General features: G+C 45.4%; 1 long non-coding RNA gene and 1 pseudogene across 2 annotated transcripts in view, besides 1 other annotated feature; one reads left to right on the forward strand and one right to left on the reverse strand.

Annotated features, from left to right (window-relative positions):
* Positions 1–18,170, forward strand: part of FAM86B2-DT (FAM86B2 divergent transcript) — a 129,833-nt gene that overhangs the window by 27,499 nt on the left and 84,164 nt on the right. The gene's annotated exons all lie outside the window — the stretch shown is intronic.
* Positions 1–18,170, reverse strand: part of ENPP7P6 (ectonucleotide pyrophosphatase/phosphodiesterase 7 pseudogene 6) — a 63,266-nt pseudogene that overhangs the window by 16,499 nt on the left and 28,597 nt on the right.
* Positions 16,835–17,574: an enhancer, noted in NCBI's record as "H3K27ac-H3K4me1 hESC enhancer chr8:12338855-12339594 (GRCh37/hg19 assembly coordinates)". NCBI's record gives its function as "activates a minimal SCP1, AML or CMV promoter by ChIP-STARR-seq in naive H9 embryonic stem cells {active_cell/tissue: H9 hESC(naive)}" and the evidence as "EXISTENCE:reporter gene assay evidence [ECO:0000049][PMID:30033119]".

Raw genomic sequence — 18,170 nt, forward strand, 5'->3', positions numbered from 1 at the left:
CACTGATTTACCCATACAGGCTTTTCTGTTTTCCAAGTTAATGAAATGGGTTTTGGAGGCTCTACAGTGGCCACCCCTAAAAAGGATACCCTAGTCCTTTTCTTTCTGGATTTCCCTTAGCCTCAATTGGAACTTTAATGCCTTCTCCATTTTTCCCTAGTCCTTTGCCAGGGAGCTATCCCATTTTAGTCATGATTTTTTGACTCGTGGGGCTGTACAGAGAGACTGGAATAGTAATCTCTGCATGCCACTGTTCTAATAAGTCTCGGCCCCATAAATTAATTGGAATAGAAGTAATCATAGGCTGAACTGTACTCTCTTGATTATCAGGTCCTAGACAATGTAAAATCCTGGCACTTTGATACACTTCTGAGGCAGTGCCCACACCAACAAGTCCTGTAACAGGCTTTTGTTTAGGCCAATTTTTTGGCCATTGATTTAAGGCAATGATAGAAACATCAGACCCAGTATCCACTAATCCTTCAAATTGTTTTCCATGAATAGTAACTGTACACACAGATCTATTCTCTGAGAGCTGACTAGCCCAATAAACAGCTTTTCCAGCAGTGTTGGTACTTGCAAACCCTCCTGTTCTTTCTGTTTTGCTATCCCCAATTTTAATATAAGGCAAGAGCAGTAATTGAGCAATTCTATCACCTGGATTGGCACTCCAGGGAACAGTACAGCTGATCACTAACTGAATTTCCCCTTTATAATCTGAGTCAATTACCCAGTATGAATTTGAACTCCTTTCAAATTTAGACTAGATCTTCCTAAAATAAGGCCTACCATCCCTTGTGGCAGCGGGCCATATACCCCTGTAGGAATCTTTTGCAGGGGCTCTCCACGGAGTAAAGAAATCATTTGAGTAGAACATAAATCTACTGCAGCACTGCCTGCTGTGGCAGAGGATAATTGTCGTATTGTAATTGGCTGATTTCCTGAAATGGTGGTATTTACTGTGGGGGTTGTTGTCCCTGAAAACCCTGAGGAACAAATGGCTGAATCGGGAATGCCCCACTTTGTTGCGGGGCCTGGGGCTGGCCCCTCTTGCCGTTTCCCGACAATGGTTGTCCCTTTTTATCAAATTTAGAACGACATGCCTTAGCCCAATGTTTTCCTTTTCCACATCTTGGACACAGGCCAGGTGGCTCTTTTTTTTTTTTTTTTTTTTGCTGTTTATTTAAGCCCGGGCAATTCTTTTTTAGATGACCGATTTGACCACAATTATAACATTTTCCCCCAAATGTTTTAACTTGTCCTCCTATAGCAACCCCTGTAATTGCTTGAGCCAATGGCATTGCCTTATGCATAGCTCCTCCAATCCCATCACAAGCCTTCACATATTCTGTAATTACATCAACTCCTGCTGAAACATTTCCTCTTAATGGCTTTATGGCTGATTGACACTCTGAATTTGCGTTTTGATAAGCCATTATTTCTACAATAACTTTTCGGGCGTTACCTGCAATGGATTTTTGAGCTGCATCTTGCAACCTTGCCACAAAGTCTGGATATGGCTCTTTAGAGCCTTGTCTGATTGAACTAAAAGAAGGGCATGAGGTTCCTGGGTCCTGAATGTTTTCCCAGGCCCTGAGGCAAATAGCCCTTATAGTTGTTCAATAGCCTCATTTTCATTACTGATTGTTGATTAATAGTGTCCCAGTTTGGACCTCTTCCTAGCAATTGGTCTTCATCTATATAAGCAACAGGATTAGTAGCCTGATTTTTTCGTACCTGTTCTTGTACCCCATCAATCCACCAGGTTTTAAACTGGAGATACTGAGAGGGTGAAAGGGAAGATATAGCCAGAATTTCCCAATCATAAGAAATAAGTCTATTTCCATGAGCAATGGAATTTAATAATATTCTCATATAAGGAGAGTTAGGTCCATATTGTTTAACTCCTGCTTGACTGCCTTTCCCGGCCGGCATCTGTTGTAACATTACCGGATATTGCCATGCCTCAAGATCTCCCTGTTTTCTGGCTGTAGCAATGGTCTCATGCAGTGCACTATCTTGTCCACTAGGTGGTACCGTAAGATCAAACGCCATCGCCGTGGGTTGTTGATATAGTGCCTTGCTATTTGCCACAGGACGCACCGCCTGAGATCCATACTGAACCTCTGGAGACGGCGGATACTGAAATGCGGCTGGCGGCTGGTGTTGATAAACTACCGATGGTTGGGTTTTATTTTCTACTGGCTGGTATTGCGGATACTGTGCCTGGATTGGCATTTGAGATTGTGACATCACAGGCATCTGAACCGCGGGAGAAGGAGTTGGTGGCCATCGTGGTCTAAACTCTGATGGCCCAAATAATTCTGGACCTCCTTCCCCCAATTTTGATGATTCAGGATATATTACCTCCTGTAATTGATTATAGTCAACATTCTGCATTGACCAAGTCAGTACAGGCTCTACTGCATTTTTACAATGTGAACTTTCCATTCCTTTCTTAAACTCTGTTCCTGCCTCTTCTTCACAATCTATTACACAGCTTTCAGGGGCATCAAAGACTGAAACCCTATCTTCTTCTATATGAAATTGTTCTAAAGTTGCTTTAATAGTGACCCAATCACTCCATACTGTAAGTGGGATGATTTTACCTTCCCTAATTGCTTGTTTTAGTTCTTTGCCATTTTTTTCCCAATCTTTTAAATCTAAAGTTCCCTTTTCTGGAAACCATGGGCGGAATTGTTCTATTGTTTGAAATAGCGTAACTAGATTTTCTGTAGAAGCTTTAACTCCCCCTCTTCTTAAGAGAATTTTAATGAAGCTGAGATAAGAAGCATATTTACTTTCAGTTTGCCCCATTGTTATCCTGGATTCCTCCCAGCACACAAGCTAACCGCAAGGCTGACTGTGGACGTACTCGGGAATCTCTCGTCGGCTGTCCTCAATGCTCACGTTCTTAGCGTACCTTCACCCTAGAGAAGGGCCCCACGCTGGGCTCCAGATGAAGGGGTGGTCTGCCCCTCCACACCTGTGGGTATTTCTAGTCAGGTGGGATGAGAGACGGAGAAAAGAAATAAGACACAGAGACAAAGTATAGAGAAACATCAGTGGGTCCAGGGGACCGGCACTCAGCACACCAAGGACATGCACAGGCACCGGCCTCTGAGTTCCCTCAGTTTTTATTGATTATGATTTTCATTATTTCAGCAAAAAGGAATATACTAGGAAAGCAGGGTGATAATAAGGAGGTCAACAAAAAACATGTGAGCAAAAGAATCTATATCATAATTAAGTTCAAGGGAAGGTACTATGACTGGACGTGTACGTAAGCCAGATTTATGTTTCTCTCCACCCAAAAATCTCAGTGGAGTAAAGAATAACAAGGCAGCATTGCTGCAAACATGTCTTGCCTCCCATCACAGGGCAGCTTTTCTCCGATCTCAGACTTAAACAAATGTACAATCGGGTTTTACATCGAGACTTTGAGTTCCCAGGGGCAGGCAGGAGACAGTGGCCTTCCTCCATCTCAACTGCAAGAGGCTTTCCTCTTTTACTAATTCACCTCACCACAGACCCTTTATGGGTATCGGGCTGAAGAACAGTCAGGTCTTTCTCATCCCACGAGGCCATATTTCAGATTATCACATGGGGAGAAACCTTGGACAATACCCTGCTTTCAAGGGCAGAGGTCCCTGCGGCTTTCCACAGTGTATTGTGCCCCTGGTTTATTGAGACTAGAGAATGGCAATGACTTTTACCAAGTATACTGCTTGTAAACATTTGGTTAACAAGGCACATCCTGCACAGCCCTAGATCCCTCAAACCTTGATTTTATACAACACATGTTTTTGTGAACTCCAAGTTGGGTCAAAGTGGTTGGGGCAAAGTGGCTGGGGCAAAGCTACAAATGAACAACATCTCTGCAAAGCAATTGTTTTAAGTACAGGTCTTTTTCAAAATGGAGTCTCTTATGTCTTCCCTTTCGACATAGACACAGTGACAGTCGGATCTCTCTTTCTTTTCCCTACACAAATAAAGAGCCCAGTGCCTTTTCTCATTGCTCAAGAGATTGAAGGGGTAGGAAGAAAAGATGTTAAGTTATAAACATGTTTCAGTTTTGGTACCACTTGAGCCAATTTATGTTTTGAAGAGGAAAGGGTCTTGCCTACAAGTCAGTCCCTGGGTTTTCCTTCTGCTTATGGAATCCAGGCAATGGGCAAAGAGAAAAAGAAAACTAAGGAATCAGCCAGATGCAGTGGCTCATGCTTGTAATCTTGGCCCTTTGGGAGGTTGAGGCAGGCGGACTTCTTGAGTCCAGGAGTTCAAGACCAGCCTGGCCCACATAGCGAGACCCCGTTTCTACAAAAAATACAAAAAGGTGCTGAGCATGGTGGCATGCACCTGTAGTTCCAGTTACTTGGGAGGCTGAGGTGGGAGAACTACTTCAGCCCAGGAGGTTGAGGCTGCAGTGAGCCATGATTGTGCCACTATACTCCAGCCTGGGTGACAGAGTGAGGTCCTGTCTCAAAAGAAAACAAAAAAGATAAGAAAAAGAAAACTAGGGAATCTGGACAGAATAAGTTTATATATATAATAAAGAACTGAGATAGAACTGGGTTGACTGAATAATTATTTGAGTTGCTTTTGAGTGAATTTTTCCTATTGGAGTCTACCTTTGTTTTTTTGTGTGTGCGCGTTTTTTTTTTTTTTTTTGTTTAGTTTTGTCTTTGTGTTTTTTTTGAGACTGGTCTCTGTTGCCCAGTCTGCTGGAGTGCAGTGGCACGATCTCAGCTCACTGCAACCTCTGCCTCCTGGGTTCCAGCAATTCTTCTGCCTCAGCCTCCCTAGAAGCTGGGACTACTGGGCATGTACCACCAAGCCCAGCTAATTTTTGTATTTTTAGTAGAGATGGGGTTTCACCATGTTGGCCGGGCCTGGTCTTGAACTCCTGGGCTCAAGTGATCCACCTGCCTCAGCCTCCCAAAGTGCTGGGATTACAGGTGTGAGCCCCTGCGCCCAGCTAGAGTCTACCATTCTTTGAATTCACTGCAGTGCAAAGACTGGAACATGTGGAACTCCAGGTGTATATGGGTTATGTAGAGATGCTAGGGGCAGATTAAGGAAGGAAAGATATGAGAAGCCTGCAGAGCATGCTTTCCCAGACTGTATGGGCCCTGGGAAAGGAGAAGTGGACAGAAAGGGAGCACTAGGTACCCTGGAAGAGAAGATTCATCCAAGTCATCAGGGAAGTTACTAATGCAAGGGAAAAAATTTAGAGACAGGGCCAGCCACGCTTCTTCCAAGTCCTTTCTGTCTGCTCAGTCACCTCTATGCTTATTTTTCTTCTTTCCTCTAAGTAGTGTCATGCGTTTTCTTCCTATTCCTAGTCGCTCCTAGTCAACTAACTCCTCTCTTTACCATCTTTTCATCAGAACTTGAAACCTCCTCTCCTTCATGTATTAGTGATCATGTTTCTCCATAATACTGCTAGAAACAAGAATTGAAACCTGGAAAACCTGCATTTGAGAACCAGATCTCCCTCTGCTAGCTATTTGAGAAGTTATTTTGTTCCATTCTTTTTGTTGTTGTCGAAACAGGGTCTCACTCTGTCGCCCAGGCTAGAGTGCAGTGGTTCAATCTTGGCTCACTGCAGCCTCAATCTCCTGGGCTCAATCAATCCTTCCACATCAGCCTCCTGAGTAGCTGAAACTACAGGTGTGTGCCACCACAGCTGGCTAATTTTTAATGCTTTTTTTTTGTTTACTTATTTTTTTTTTTTTGTAGAGATGGTGTCTTGCTATGTTGTGTAGGCTGGTCTCAAACACATGGGCTCAAGCGATCCTCCTGCCTTGGTCTCTCAGATGAAATGGGAAAAGTTCTGTTGTCCCCCTCGAAGGGCATGCGATGCGGGTGTGGTTCGTTTATTCAGTGCCCCACTGCTCAAACCTCTAGGAGAGCATGCAGACAGGCAGGGAGACCCATGGCAGTGTCCAGGGGTGAATGTTCATAGTTGAAGCCCCAGTGGGCGTGTGTTACAGGGTGCTCTTTTAGTTTAGCCGTCTGTAGGTAGCTTGTGTTAGTCGGCTCAATTAGACCCCTGCCTTATTGCAAGGAGAGAGGGCTCTCTTTGTCCCGGGGTTCTTGTCTTGGTGTACCAGAAGTGGTGTGATCTCAGCTCACTGCAAGCTCCTACTCCTGGGTTCACGCCATTCTCCTGCCTCAGCCTTCCAAGTAGCTGGGACTACAGGCACTCGCCACCACGCCTGGCTAATTTTTTTGTATTTTTAGTAGAGATGGGGTTTCACTGTGTTAGCCAGGATGGTCTGGATCTCCTGACCTCGTGATCTGCCCGCCTCGGCCTCCCAAAGTTCTGGGATTACAGGCGTGAGAGTGCAAGGTTTTATTGAGTGGAAGTATCTCTCAGCAGATGGGCGTGCCAGAAGGGAGATGGTTTACCCCTGGAGTTGGATGAGTGGCCGGACTCTTCTCCGAATATCCCAGCCAAACTCTGCGTTGTTCTGCAGTCAGTGGCCTGCGGTGTGACGGTGCCCATTGGTGCGTTCCTGTTGAAGTCCAGCACCCTTGTGTTCCTCTGCTGATGTGCTCCTCTCAAAGTCCAGCTGCCTGTGTCTGCCTGCTAGGGTCTCAGGGTTTTTATAGGCACAGAATGGGGGTGTGGCAGCCAGGGTGGTCTTGGGAAATGCAACATCTGGGCAGGAAAACAAAAATGCCAGTCCTCACCTAGGTCTGTGGACACAGGCCCTGGGGTGGAGCCCTAGCCAGGGACCACACCCTCCTCTACCCAGTACTTCCCTTCCTCACTTCCATATCATTTAAAGGGACCACATTCTTCCCTTCTGAGCACTTCCCTTCTGTATCACAAAGTTTTGGGATTATAGGCATGAGGCACTGGTCCCAGCCAATTCCGTTCTTTTAATGCAAACTAGAAAATAGGTGTTCAGAAAGGCCTGCCCTATCCACCTCAGGGAGTTGCTATGAAGATCAAATTAGACCATGTGCAACAGAAGTTTAGAAAAGATTCCAAAAGCACTGTGCAATGGGAATGTATTTTTAAACTCCACTGAGTGGACTTAAAACTATGGTTTTCTTTCTTTCTTTCTTTCTTTTTGGTTGAGACAGAGTTTCACTCTTGTTGCCTAGGCTGGAGTGCAGTGATGCCATCTTGGCTTACTGCAACCTCTGCCTCCCAGGTTCAAGTGATTCTCTGCCTCAGCCACCCGAGTAGCTGGGATTGCAGGCGCCCACCACCGTGCCTGGCTAATTTCTTTCTTTCTTTGTTTTTGTCTTTTTAGTAGAGATGGGGTTTCACAGTGTTGGCCAGGCTGGTCTCAAACTCCTGAGCTTAGGTGATTCACCCACCTTGGCCTCCCAGAGTGCTGGGATTAAGGCTTTAGCCACCGCACCCAACGTGTGTTTCTTTTTCAAGCAAGAAAACAAATGCCTCTCCCCAGCGCTCACTAAACAAATCCCTCTGTTATTTTTTTTTCCATAGGATTCTTATCCTTCTTGCCCCACTGCAAACAATCTATTTTCTTTTGGCCCTTCCGTCTGTCTGTGAAAGGGTCAGGCTTTCTAGCTAACCCTTAATCAAATATTTTTGATGACCACAGTCAAGACAGTACTTATTATTTTTTGGGGGGGACGGAGTTTTGCTCTTGTTGCCCAGGCTGGAGGGCAATGGCGCAGTCTCAGTTCACTGCAACCTCTGCCTCCAGGGTTCAAGTGATTCTCTTACCTCAGCCTCCCAAGTAGCTGGGATTACAGGTGCACAACACCACACCCAGCTAATTTTTGTATTTTTAGTAGAGATGGGGTTTCTCCATGTTGGTCCGGCTGGTCTCGAACTCCTGACCTCAGGTGATCTACACACCTCAGCCTCCCAAAGTGCTGGGATTACAGGGGTGAGCAACCCTGACTGGCCAGGACAGTGCTTATTAATTCCTGAGATGCATCCAGGAGCACATGACCTGGCTGTGACTGTTCTAACAGAGTTCCCCAAATGGGTGGCTCAGGACAACAGAAAGTCATTCTCTCCAGTTCCAGAAGCTTGATGTGTGAAACCCGCAGGGCCATGCTCCCTCTGAAGGCTCTAGGGGTGAATCCTTCCTTGCCTCTTCTGGCTTCTGGTGGTTGCTGGCATTCTTTGGCTTGTGTCCACATCATTCCATTCTCTTCCTTCATTCTCATGTGGCCTTCTCCCCTGTGTGTCTCTGTCTCTTCTTCTCTTCCCATGAGGATGCCATTATTACTCGATTTAAGGTTCACGCTATTCCAATATGACCTCTTTGTAATTAGATCTGCAGTGACCCTATTTTCTTTTCTTTTTTTTGTGATGGAGTCTTGCTCTGTTGCCCAGGCTGGAGTTCAGTGACACAATCTCAGCTCGCTTCAACTCTGCCTCCTGGGTTCAAGTGATTCTTCAGCCTCAGCCTCTGAAGTAGCTGGGATTACAGGTGCACGCCACCATGCCTAGCTAATTTTTATGTTTTTAGTAGAGACAGGGTTTGCCATGCTAGCCAGGCTGGTCTCGAACTCCTGACCTCAAGTGATCCTCCTGCCTCAGCCTCCCAAAGTGCTAAGATTACAAGCATGAGCCACCATGCCCTGCCCCTATTTTCTAATAAGGTCACATTCTGGGATTCCTGGTGAATGTGAATTTTTGGAAGACAGTATTCAGTCTAGCAAAAGGCAGAACATCCTCATTTTCTTCCCTACCTCAGAAATAAAGAAGTTAACTTCAACCCCTCTGAGAGAGGCTTCCTGAGCTTCCAACAATCAATTATCCAAATATTAGTCACAGAAGGGCACTAAGGGTTGTGCACAGCACGTGGCCAGCCCATTCTCTGAGTCTGTCAAGTTTAAGGTGAACGCTAATCCTGAATGAGTCTTAAAATGTACTTGGCATATCCTGTTCATTGTAAAATGTTCTCACATTGTGATGGCTGGGGCTTCCCTCTCAGGTGTAATCTGAGAAGTCAGACGTGACACAGCCTGGGTGAGGTGGGCCAAGCCGGGAACTGGGTTAGGAGGGAAGCTGGGGAATGATCTCCAAGGTCTCAGATCCCAAACTGGCTTTAGCCAGATTCACCCAGAGGGATCTCATAAAAAATGCACATTCCGGGGCCCACCCCAGACCTAATGAATCAGAATTACCTGGGAAGGAGCCTGGGGAGCTCTGTTTTCAGAAGCAGCCCAGCCGAATCCTACGGTCAGACAGGGCTAGGAATCGAAACTCAGTCTAGCGCGGTAGTTCCCAAACTCGTCTGTGCTTCAAAAAATACAGATGCTGATGTCCAGACATGGTGGCTCATGCCTATAATCCCAGCAGTTTGGGACGGTGAGGCGGGAGTATCACTTGAGCCCAGGAGTTTGAGACTAGCCTGGAGAACATAAGGAGATACTGTCTCTATAAAAAATTTAAAAATTAGCCGGGCGTGGTGGTGCCCGCCTGTGATCCCAGCTACCGTGGAGGTTGAAGTGGGAGGGTTTCTTGAGCCCAGGAGTTGGAGCCTGTAGTGAGCTATGATTGTGCCACTGCACTCCAGCCTGGGTAACACAGCGAGGCCCTGTCTCAAAAACAAAACAAAACAAAAAACGGAGTCTATGTCCCATTCCAGAGGTTGAGGTTTAATTGTTCTTGGGTGTGGCCTGGGTTTTGGAAGATTTAAAAAAAAAATCTCAGGTGACCCTAAAGTGTAGATGAGTTTGGAAACCACACATTTAAGGCACACTTGAATGGGGGAGCAGTGAGGTGGCGCGGGCTAGCCGGCCAGAACCCAGGGGTGGGCCAGTAGGAACCAGCATTGCAGAGGCCATTAAGGTTGGGAAGCATAGTGTCTGGGGCCCATAACAATGCTTCGGCATGAATGCTTTAGACCTAAGACAATTGGCTCCTAAATGTGAAAACTGCAAGGCTGAAATGAATGCATGTTTAATGCCTTACAACATTGTCAAGTGATCAGCTGCAACTCCTTTCTGAGGGCATGATGCCTGAGATATGCCTGTAATGCGGGTTGATTTTAATTAATTTAATATGGTGTGGAGTGGGGCCTTCAAAAGTAAAGACGTCAGTTCTAAGTTGGTTGCAGGGTTCTGGGCAAAGGTCTTAAAACCCCATGGTGAGCAGATGGCCAATCCTGAACACCCCAATTTTAAAACAGGGCTTTTTTTCCAAGAGACTTTTTGAAAATAGCTCCTATTTTGAGAGGAGGAACCCTGGCAGGAGAGAGCCAGAGTTAAGCCCAGCTGAGAGGGGGTTGGTAGGCAGGGGTCTGCCTGATCCTCACTGAAGCTTGATACTCAGGGTGAGCTTCCTAAACTAGTGCAGATTTGCCGGCCCACTGAGCCTCCCAGATGAGAACCTGCATTTCAACAAGGTCCTTGATGCAGCAAAGTTTGAGATATACTGGGCTAGAACACTCAGGGGACACAAAGGTTCTCTGAAAACTAAGGAAAATAGGCAGGGTGTGGTGGCTCATGCCTGTAATCCTTGTATTTTGGGATGCCAAGGCGGGCGGATCACCTGAGGTCAGGAGTTTGAGACCAGCCTGGATCAACATGGTGAAACACCATCTCTACAAAAAATACAAAAATTAGCTGGGTGCGGCCGGGCACAGTGGCTCATGCCTGTAATCCCAGCACTTTGGGAGTCCGACGCGGGCAGATCACGAGGTCAGGAGATCGAGACCATCCTGGCTAACACGATGAAACCCTGTCTTTACTAAAAACACAAAAAAATTAGCCGGGCGTGGTGGCAGGTTCCTGTAGTCCCAACTACTCGGGAGGCTGAGGGAGGAGAATGGCATGAACCTCGAGGAGGAGCTTGCAGTGAGCCGAGATTGCACCACTGCACTCCAGCCTGGGCAACAGAGCCAGACTCTGTCTCAAAAAAAAAAAAAAAAATTATCTGGGTGAAGTGGCAGGTACCTGTAGTCCCAGCTACTTGGGGGGCTGAGACAGGAGAATAGATTGAACCTGGGAGGCGGAAGTTGCAGTGGCCCGAGATCGCACCACTGCACTCCAGTCTGGTGGCAGAGTGAGACTCCATCTAAAAACATAAAAAAAAAATACACAAATAAATAAAAAATAAAAATAAATACTGGGCTAGAAGACCCAGGAGACCCGAAGATTCTCTCAAAACTAAGGAAAATAATCTAGGTCACAAATATATTCTCTTCCTCCTTCTCCCCATTGCCCCCCTCCACCAGTAATCTTTATAGACTCAAATCGAGTTGATGTTCTATAATCAATTCTAGTCACTTTTATTTGTATTTATTTATTTTAGAGATGGGGGTCTCACTGTGTTGCTCAGGCTGGTCTCAAATTCCTGGGCTTAAGTGATCCACCCACCTAGGTCTCCCAAAGTGCTGGGATTACAGGCATCAGCCACTGCACCCGGCTGTCACTTTTATTTTTGATGTTCAAATTATAAGCTAATACCTGTGAGACCATAGATTCTTTTTATGCACTCAATACACTTTCTTGTTTACCTTATATTTGTATTATGGAAAAGTTCTGTTTTTTCCACTTGTTTATATTTGATAATGAAGCCCTCTGTGCCTATCACCAGCCTCAGCCGCCATCATCTCATTACCAAGCTGGGTTATTTTGAAACAAATATCTTCTAATATTTAGCCGGTGTTCAAATTTCCCTAACCATCCTAAAGGAATGTTTAGAACAGTTGTTTCATTGGAAACAAGGTCAAAACAAATACATTTTACATTTTTAGGCCAGTCTTGAAAGTAAGTGTAAAACCATGTGTGGGGTAGGAGGTGGGACTAGACTCTCAAGGTGGGGCCTGGATACCAGACCCAGTTGAGGACTAGCTAAGACAGATTCCACAGTGAATAACACCAGGAGGTGGGAATATTAAGGTCCATTGTGAAGGATGGCTACCACAATTTTTTGATCAACTAGTTATCAACCCTGACTGAAGCTGAGAGAGATTTGTTTTTTCTTTTTTTTCTTTTTTTTCAGAGACAGGGTCTTGCTACGTTGCCCAGGCTGGACTCAAACTCCTGGGCTCAGGTGATTCTTCTGCCTTAGCCTCCTGAGTAGCTGAGACTACAGGTGTGTGCCACTGTGCCCAGCAAGATTTTAAAAAATACGTATGCCCGGACACCACTCTAAACCAACTAAATGAGAATCAGATATCGTGAAGTCACTAATCATTTTGCTCCTGGGTCTTTATGACAGTTTTGCTCCTGGGAAACTCCTGGGAATGTGGTAGAGAGAGAGAAAGAGATGGGAAAATAAGATTTTAAGAAGTGTTGCTATGCATTTTGAAAATAATTTTTATTTGGTGTTTGTCTTGAGGGAAGGCGGTAAACATTTCAATTGCCTTTAAGTGTGCTTGGATGCTGGAACGATGGTTCTTTGAATGCAGCGTCAAACTGGCATTGGGTCACATGGCAGCCAGCATTAACCTTTATGCCACATTTATAAAACATGAATGTCATGAGCCCACTCTCAGAGACCTTATAATTTGGAGGGTTAGGTCAGATCCACAAATCTCTTCTATCTCATGGTAAAGGAAACCTGGCGTGTAGCAGGAGATGGTGTGATAACAATAACATATTGCATGATCAGTATTTGTATTCTTCTTAGCAATATTAAACTTTTTGACCTCCTCCATTGTGTCATCAATTTGCTTAATACAGTTTCTGCCTCAGCGTCTGTTTTTAGGCCTGGCATAAGCTGTTTGAAACCCAGGCACATACCCCACCCATCATCTTTGGCCTACTTAACACCTCCCCTCCCTGCGTGGTGGTTTGGAGAACCTGCTTGTTCCTCATCCCACTGATCCCAAACCCAGGACACCCCACAGCTGCTGACCAGGATTAAACCTAAGGGAGATTTAATGCCGTTAAATCAGAAGAAATTCTGATTCTCAGGGACTGACATTCATTCACTTAAATACTTGCAGAGTCGGCCAGGTGTGGTGGCTCACACCTGTAATCCCAGCACTTTGGGCAGCCGAGGTGGGTGGATCACGAGGTCAAGATTTCGAGACCAGCCTGGCCAACATGGTGAAACCCCGTCTGTACTAAAAATACAAAAATTAACTGGTATAGCTGTGCGTGCCTGTAATCCCAGCTACTCAGGAGGCTGAGGCAGGGGATTTGCTTGAACCTGGGAGGTGGAGGTTGCAGTGAGCCAAGATTATCCCATTGCACTCCAGCCTGGGCAGCAGAGCGAGACTCTGTCTCAAAAAACAAAAAACCCAAAAACTTGCAGAGTGAATTTAGGAAACCATGTAGTCTACAGTTTGATGCAATGTCTTCCTTTTCCTCTTTCTCAAATATTTTGAGCCAGGTACTATCCTAGATTGTCTTGTGATATTTACAATCTAGGAGAAGGCAGGAGAGAGAACTAAGAACAGAGAGCATGTTCTGAGATGTCTGCTGTGTTTGAAGGTACCTTCCCTCAATTTCCCTACTCACTGGCCATGCTGGAAAGCAGGTCTTGAAGCCATATTTGTACCATGGTACTTCCCCTCCCTATACTCAATTGGTGGGCCAGAAGCCCAATTGTCATTCTCTCTCTCTCTCTCCCTCTCCCTCTCTTCCTCCCTCCCTCCCTCCCTCTCCAAGATATCCAGGAACTGATTGATCAGCTGGCGGTGGGCTCGGCTGGCTGCCAGGGTGGGCCACCAGCAAAAAGGGAAAATTGGTTGTGAGTGAGAAGAAGAGATAAGAAAGTCCACAGGGCTGATAAGAAAGACCATGGGCTTCCAGGCGCGGTGGTTCACGCCTGTAATCCCAGCACTTTGGGAAGCCAGGATGGCCGGATCACGAGGTCAGGAGATCGAGACCATCCTGGCTCACACGGTGAAAGCCCATCTCTACTAAAAATACAAAAATTAGCTGGGTGTGGTGGCGGGTGCCTGTAGCCCCAGCTAATTGGGAGGCTGAGGTGGGAGAATGGCGTTAACCCCAGGAGGTGCAGCTTGCAGTGAACTGAGATTGCACCACTGCACTCCAGCCTGGGCGACAGAGCGAGACTGCGTCTCAAAAAAAAAAAAAAAGAAGAAAAAAAGAAAAAAAAAAAGAGACCATGGGCTTCTGAGAGCAAGAAAGAGGAATTTTGGTTTCTGTAACTGCAGTTTCCATTCTCTCATGGCCTCTCATTTGTTTCTTGTGCCCATGAGTTTGCCTGTTAGAGATAAGGTGTGTTTCTTGTCCTCAAGCTCATGCAAATGGGTTTCTGTTTCTTACAATCATTGTTCCCAGATATGGATGGTGACTGATGCTCTACTAAATGCTGAGAAAAGGCAGAGTGGAAGCACAGAAAAGCGGGCTTCTCTGAGGAGGTGACATTAGAGCCCAGTTGGAAGGCAGGAGTAAATGTGCACCATGATTTTTTAGGATTAAAACCAAGTATGTCACTGCTTGGGCACATGTAGATAGAGGTGATTTAACGGTAAAGTGTCCCAGTTGTACCCATTGTCAGTTAGCTCACCACAGGGATTATGTAGCCCTGAGTTTGCTTAGTGCTTATTTATTTTAGGATGTTGTTTATCCAAACCTCTTAAATGATACGTGTTTGGAACAAGTAACAGCATCGTTCATTGATGTTGTGGACAAACCACTATTTTGTTACTCAAGACTGGGTAATTTATAAAGAAAAAGAGGTTTAATGGGCTCACAGTTCCATGTGGCTGAAGAAGTCTCGAAATCATGGTGGAAGGCAAAAGGAATGTCTTACATGGTGGCAGACAAGAGTGATGAGAGCTATTTTGCTCATTGTTCGCTGGCCATAGAATTTACTTCTATATTGTGAACTGAGAGCCAGGCACACAAGACGGTTACAGGTCTGTCTTTTGTTTTTGATGATGATGATGATGATGATGATGATGATGATGATGATGAAATGGCTGACATGGTTGATGACTTGCTTTTTCTCATCATCTCAGACCTAGATTTTTGGCTGGACTATTGGCTTGGGATAGATGAAAATCATTCATTGTATCCCCTTATCTTAAAGTCAAGACTGAAGCAGCCTCCAGACTCAAGCTTTCATGGGACTTCAGATACCATGACGAATGGGTGTCCCTGCAATATTGTCATGGCTGTCAAAAGTGTTATTGGAGCTGGGCAAGTGGGCGCTCTCCTGTCATTCCATCCTCCTTAGATTTCCCATTCAACACCAATCTTATTTCCTTTTTTTTTCATTTTGACAGTCTCGCTCTGTCTTCTAGGCTGGAGTGCAGTGGTGGGATCTCGGCTCACTACAGTGTCCACCTCCCAGGTTTAAGTGATTCTTGTGCCTCAGCCTCCCAAGTAGCTGGGATTGCAGGTGCACACCATCAAGCCTGGCTCATTTTTTTTTTTTTCTTTTTGTACTTTTAGTAGAGAAAGGGTTTCGCCATGTTGGCCAAGCTGCTCTTGAACTCCTGACCTCAAGTGATCCACCTACCTCGGCCTCCCAAAGTGCTGGGATTACAGGTGTGAGTCACCGTATCTGGCCCCATTTCCTCTTATACCATAAGTCATTGCCTGCAGATGTGTTTTCTCCATTAGTTTGCAAAAGCTTCCTGAGAGTAGGTCTGTGCCTCATTTATTCTGGAATCTCCCTGGCACAAAGCACAGGGCTTTATCTTCAGTAGGCATCCAACAAATGTTTCATTTCATTCAACAGCTCCTCTTACCACTGCCTCCACCTTATTTGCAGGTGGCTAAGTACAATCGGAACAAGTAGGTATCATAAGATTTAGTCCAGAGTCAATTTGAGAAGAAATTACTTTAGTGATATGAAAATAAACCATGCTATTGAGTCAGAATACTTCTGAGAATATCCCCTGTCCAAGCATTTGCTGAATTTCTATGTACTAATTTTCAGGTGGAACAGTATGCTTGCAGAGGGTCCATTTGGACATAGATACACTTTCATACATTCATGTCTTTAACAAGAATTTGTGTCCCTACTGTGTTTGTTCACTAACTCCTTTGAACCTACCACATAAGCTATATCTGTATTTTCCTTGTAATTTGGGAGGTCCAGTGCTTCATTACGCTCATATGCCTGAAACTAATGAAGAAAATAGCTCTTTAACCAGCTAGTATAAAAGTAGCCACCAAATCAAGTCAATCACCTGCCTTAAATTAGCCCAGTACTCCCATCTTGAGCGGAGAAGCCCATTCTGAATCACAGCCAAGACATTGATGGAAAAACAACTCCCTCTGGGGATCAAAACCACGCTCACTCCAAATCCTCCTCCCCAGAGTTCTACTCATTGCTCACCCACTGAACCCAGAACTAACCAGAAGTGCTTGAAATGAGGACGGGTAGCTCCGTGTACCAATCGGAATTTAAAACTCTATCAATTCCTGCTATAGAAATGAGGCTTCTCCCCAGGACCAGCATTCCACGAAGGCAGCCCTTTTCTAGATGGAGAAAACAGAACCTGAAGACACCCGTTTCCCTAAACTGCTCTCGCTCATGTGTAAGTACAAATGAAAAATGCTGAGGCTGCTTCTGTTGGCATTGCTTTTTAATTATGGCCATCAATAAATCATTTTGTCCTTGAACAAGACTTGAGAATGACCCGAAGGCAGAGGCACAATTCCTTAGGAATTAGGCCAACAAAGAATGGGCTATCTCTCTTCCCACCCCTTCTCTTACTCTGCTGTCAGAAACAGAAACGTTCTCTGTGAGTAGCTGGGAGTAGACGGCCACACTTGAGTTCCATCTCGGGGTTCTGTTAACACAGTTTTACCCCATCCTGCCTCGATGGCCACTGCCACACAAGCTGCATCTGTTCTTTCTTCTGCGCCTTTTGTTACTTCGTTGTTTTTCCTCTTTCTAGTGTAGTGAGCTGAATGGTGGCTTTGCACAATATATATCCAGATCCTTGTGCCTAGAATCTGTGGAGGTGGCATTATTTGGAAAAAGGGTCTTTGCAGATGTAATTAAGTTAAGGATCTCGAGATTATCCTGGAGTAATTTAGGTAGGCTGTACATCTAAAGACAAGTGTCCTTATAAGAGGACACTTTTGTCCCGGCGCAGTGGCTCATGCCTGTAATCCCAGCACTTTGGGAGGTCGAGGCGGGTGGATCACCATAGGTCAGGAGTTTGAGACCAGCCTGACCAACATGGAGAAACCCCATCTCTACTAAAAATACAAAATTAGCCGGGCATGTTGGCGCATGCCTGCAATCCCAGCTACTGGGGAAGCTGAGGCAAGAGAGTTGCTTGAACCCAGGAGGAGGAGGTGGCAGTGAGCTGAGGTCATGCCATTGCACTCCAGCCTGGGCAACAAGAGTGAAACTCCATCTCAAAAAAAAAAAAAAAAAAAAAGGACACCCTTTTTCTGGCGCGTCCGTGTGAAGAGACCACAAAACAGGCTTTCTGTGAGCAATAAAGCTGTTTATTTCACCTGGGTGCAGGTGGGCTGAGCCCAAAAAGAGAGTCAGCGAAGGGAGATAGGGGTGGGGCCATTTTATAGGATTTAGGTAGGTAAAGGAAAAAGGGGGGTTCTCTGGCAGGCAGGAGTGGGGGTCACAAGGTGCTCAGTAGGGGAGCTTTTGAGCCAGGATGAGCAAGGAGAAGGAATTTCACAAGATAATGTCATCAGTTAAGGCAGGAACAGGACATTTTCATTTATTTTGCGGTGGAATGTCATCAATTAAGGCAGGAACCGGCCATCTGGATGTGTACATGCAGGTCACAGGGGATATGATGGCTTAGCTTGGGCTCAGAGGCCTGACGTTCCTGTCTTCTTATATTCATAAGAAAAATAAAATGAAATAGTGGTAAAGTATTGGGATGGTGAAAATTTTTGGGGGGTGTTATGGAGAGACAATGGGCGATGTTTCTCAGGGCTGCTTCCAGTGGGATTGGGGTGGCATGGGAACCTAGAGTAGGAGAGATTAAGCTGAAAGAAGATTTTGTGGTAAGGGGTGATATTGTGGGGTTGTTAGAAGAAACATTTTTCATTTAAAATTATTGGTGATGGCCTGGATACAGTTTTGTATGAATTGAAAAACTAAACGGAATAAGAGAAGGAGAAAAACAGGTATTAAAGGACTAAGAATTGGGAAGACCTAGGACATCAAATTAGAGAGTGCCTAAGGAGGTTCAGCATAGCCTTGCCAGCAAAGATTATTTAAGAGTTAAGAGTGGTGGTTTGGGGATAGCACCAGGAGATGTCAGCTGTGATGGCTTGGAGAAACAGTGTAAACCACCAGT

Source organism: Homo sapiens, chromosome 8 (assembly GCF_000001405.40).
Source record: "Homo sapiens chromosome 8, GRCh38.p14 Primary Assembly".
Lineage (NCBI taxonomy): Eukaryota > Metazoa > Chordata > Mammalia > Primates > Hominidae > Homo > Homo sapiens.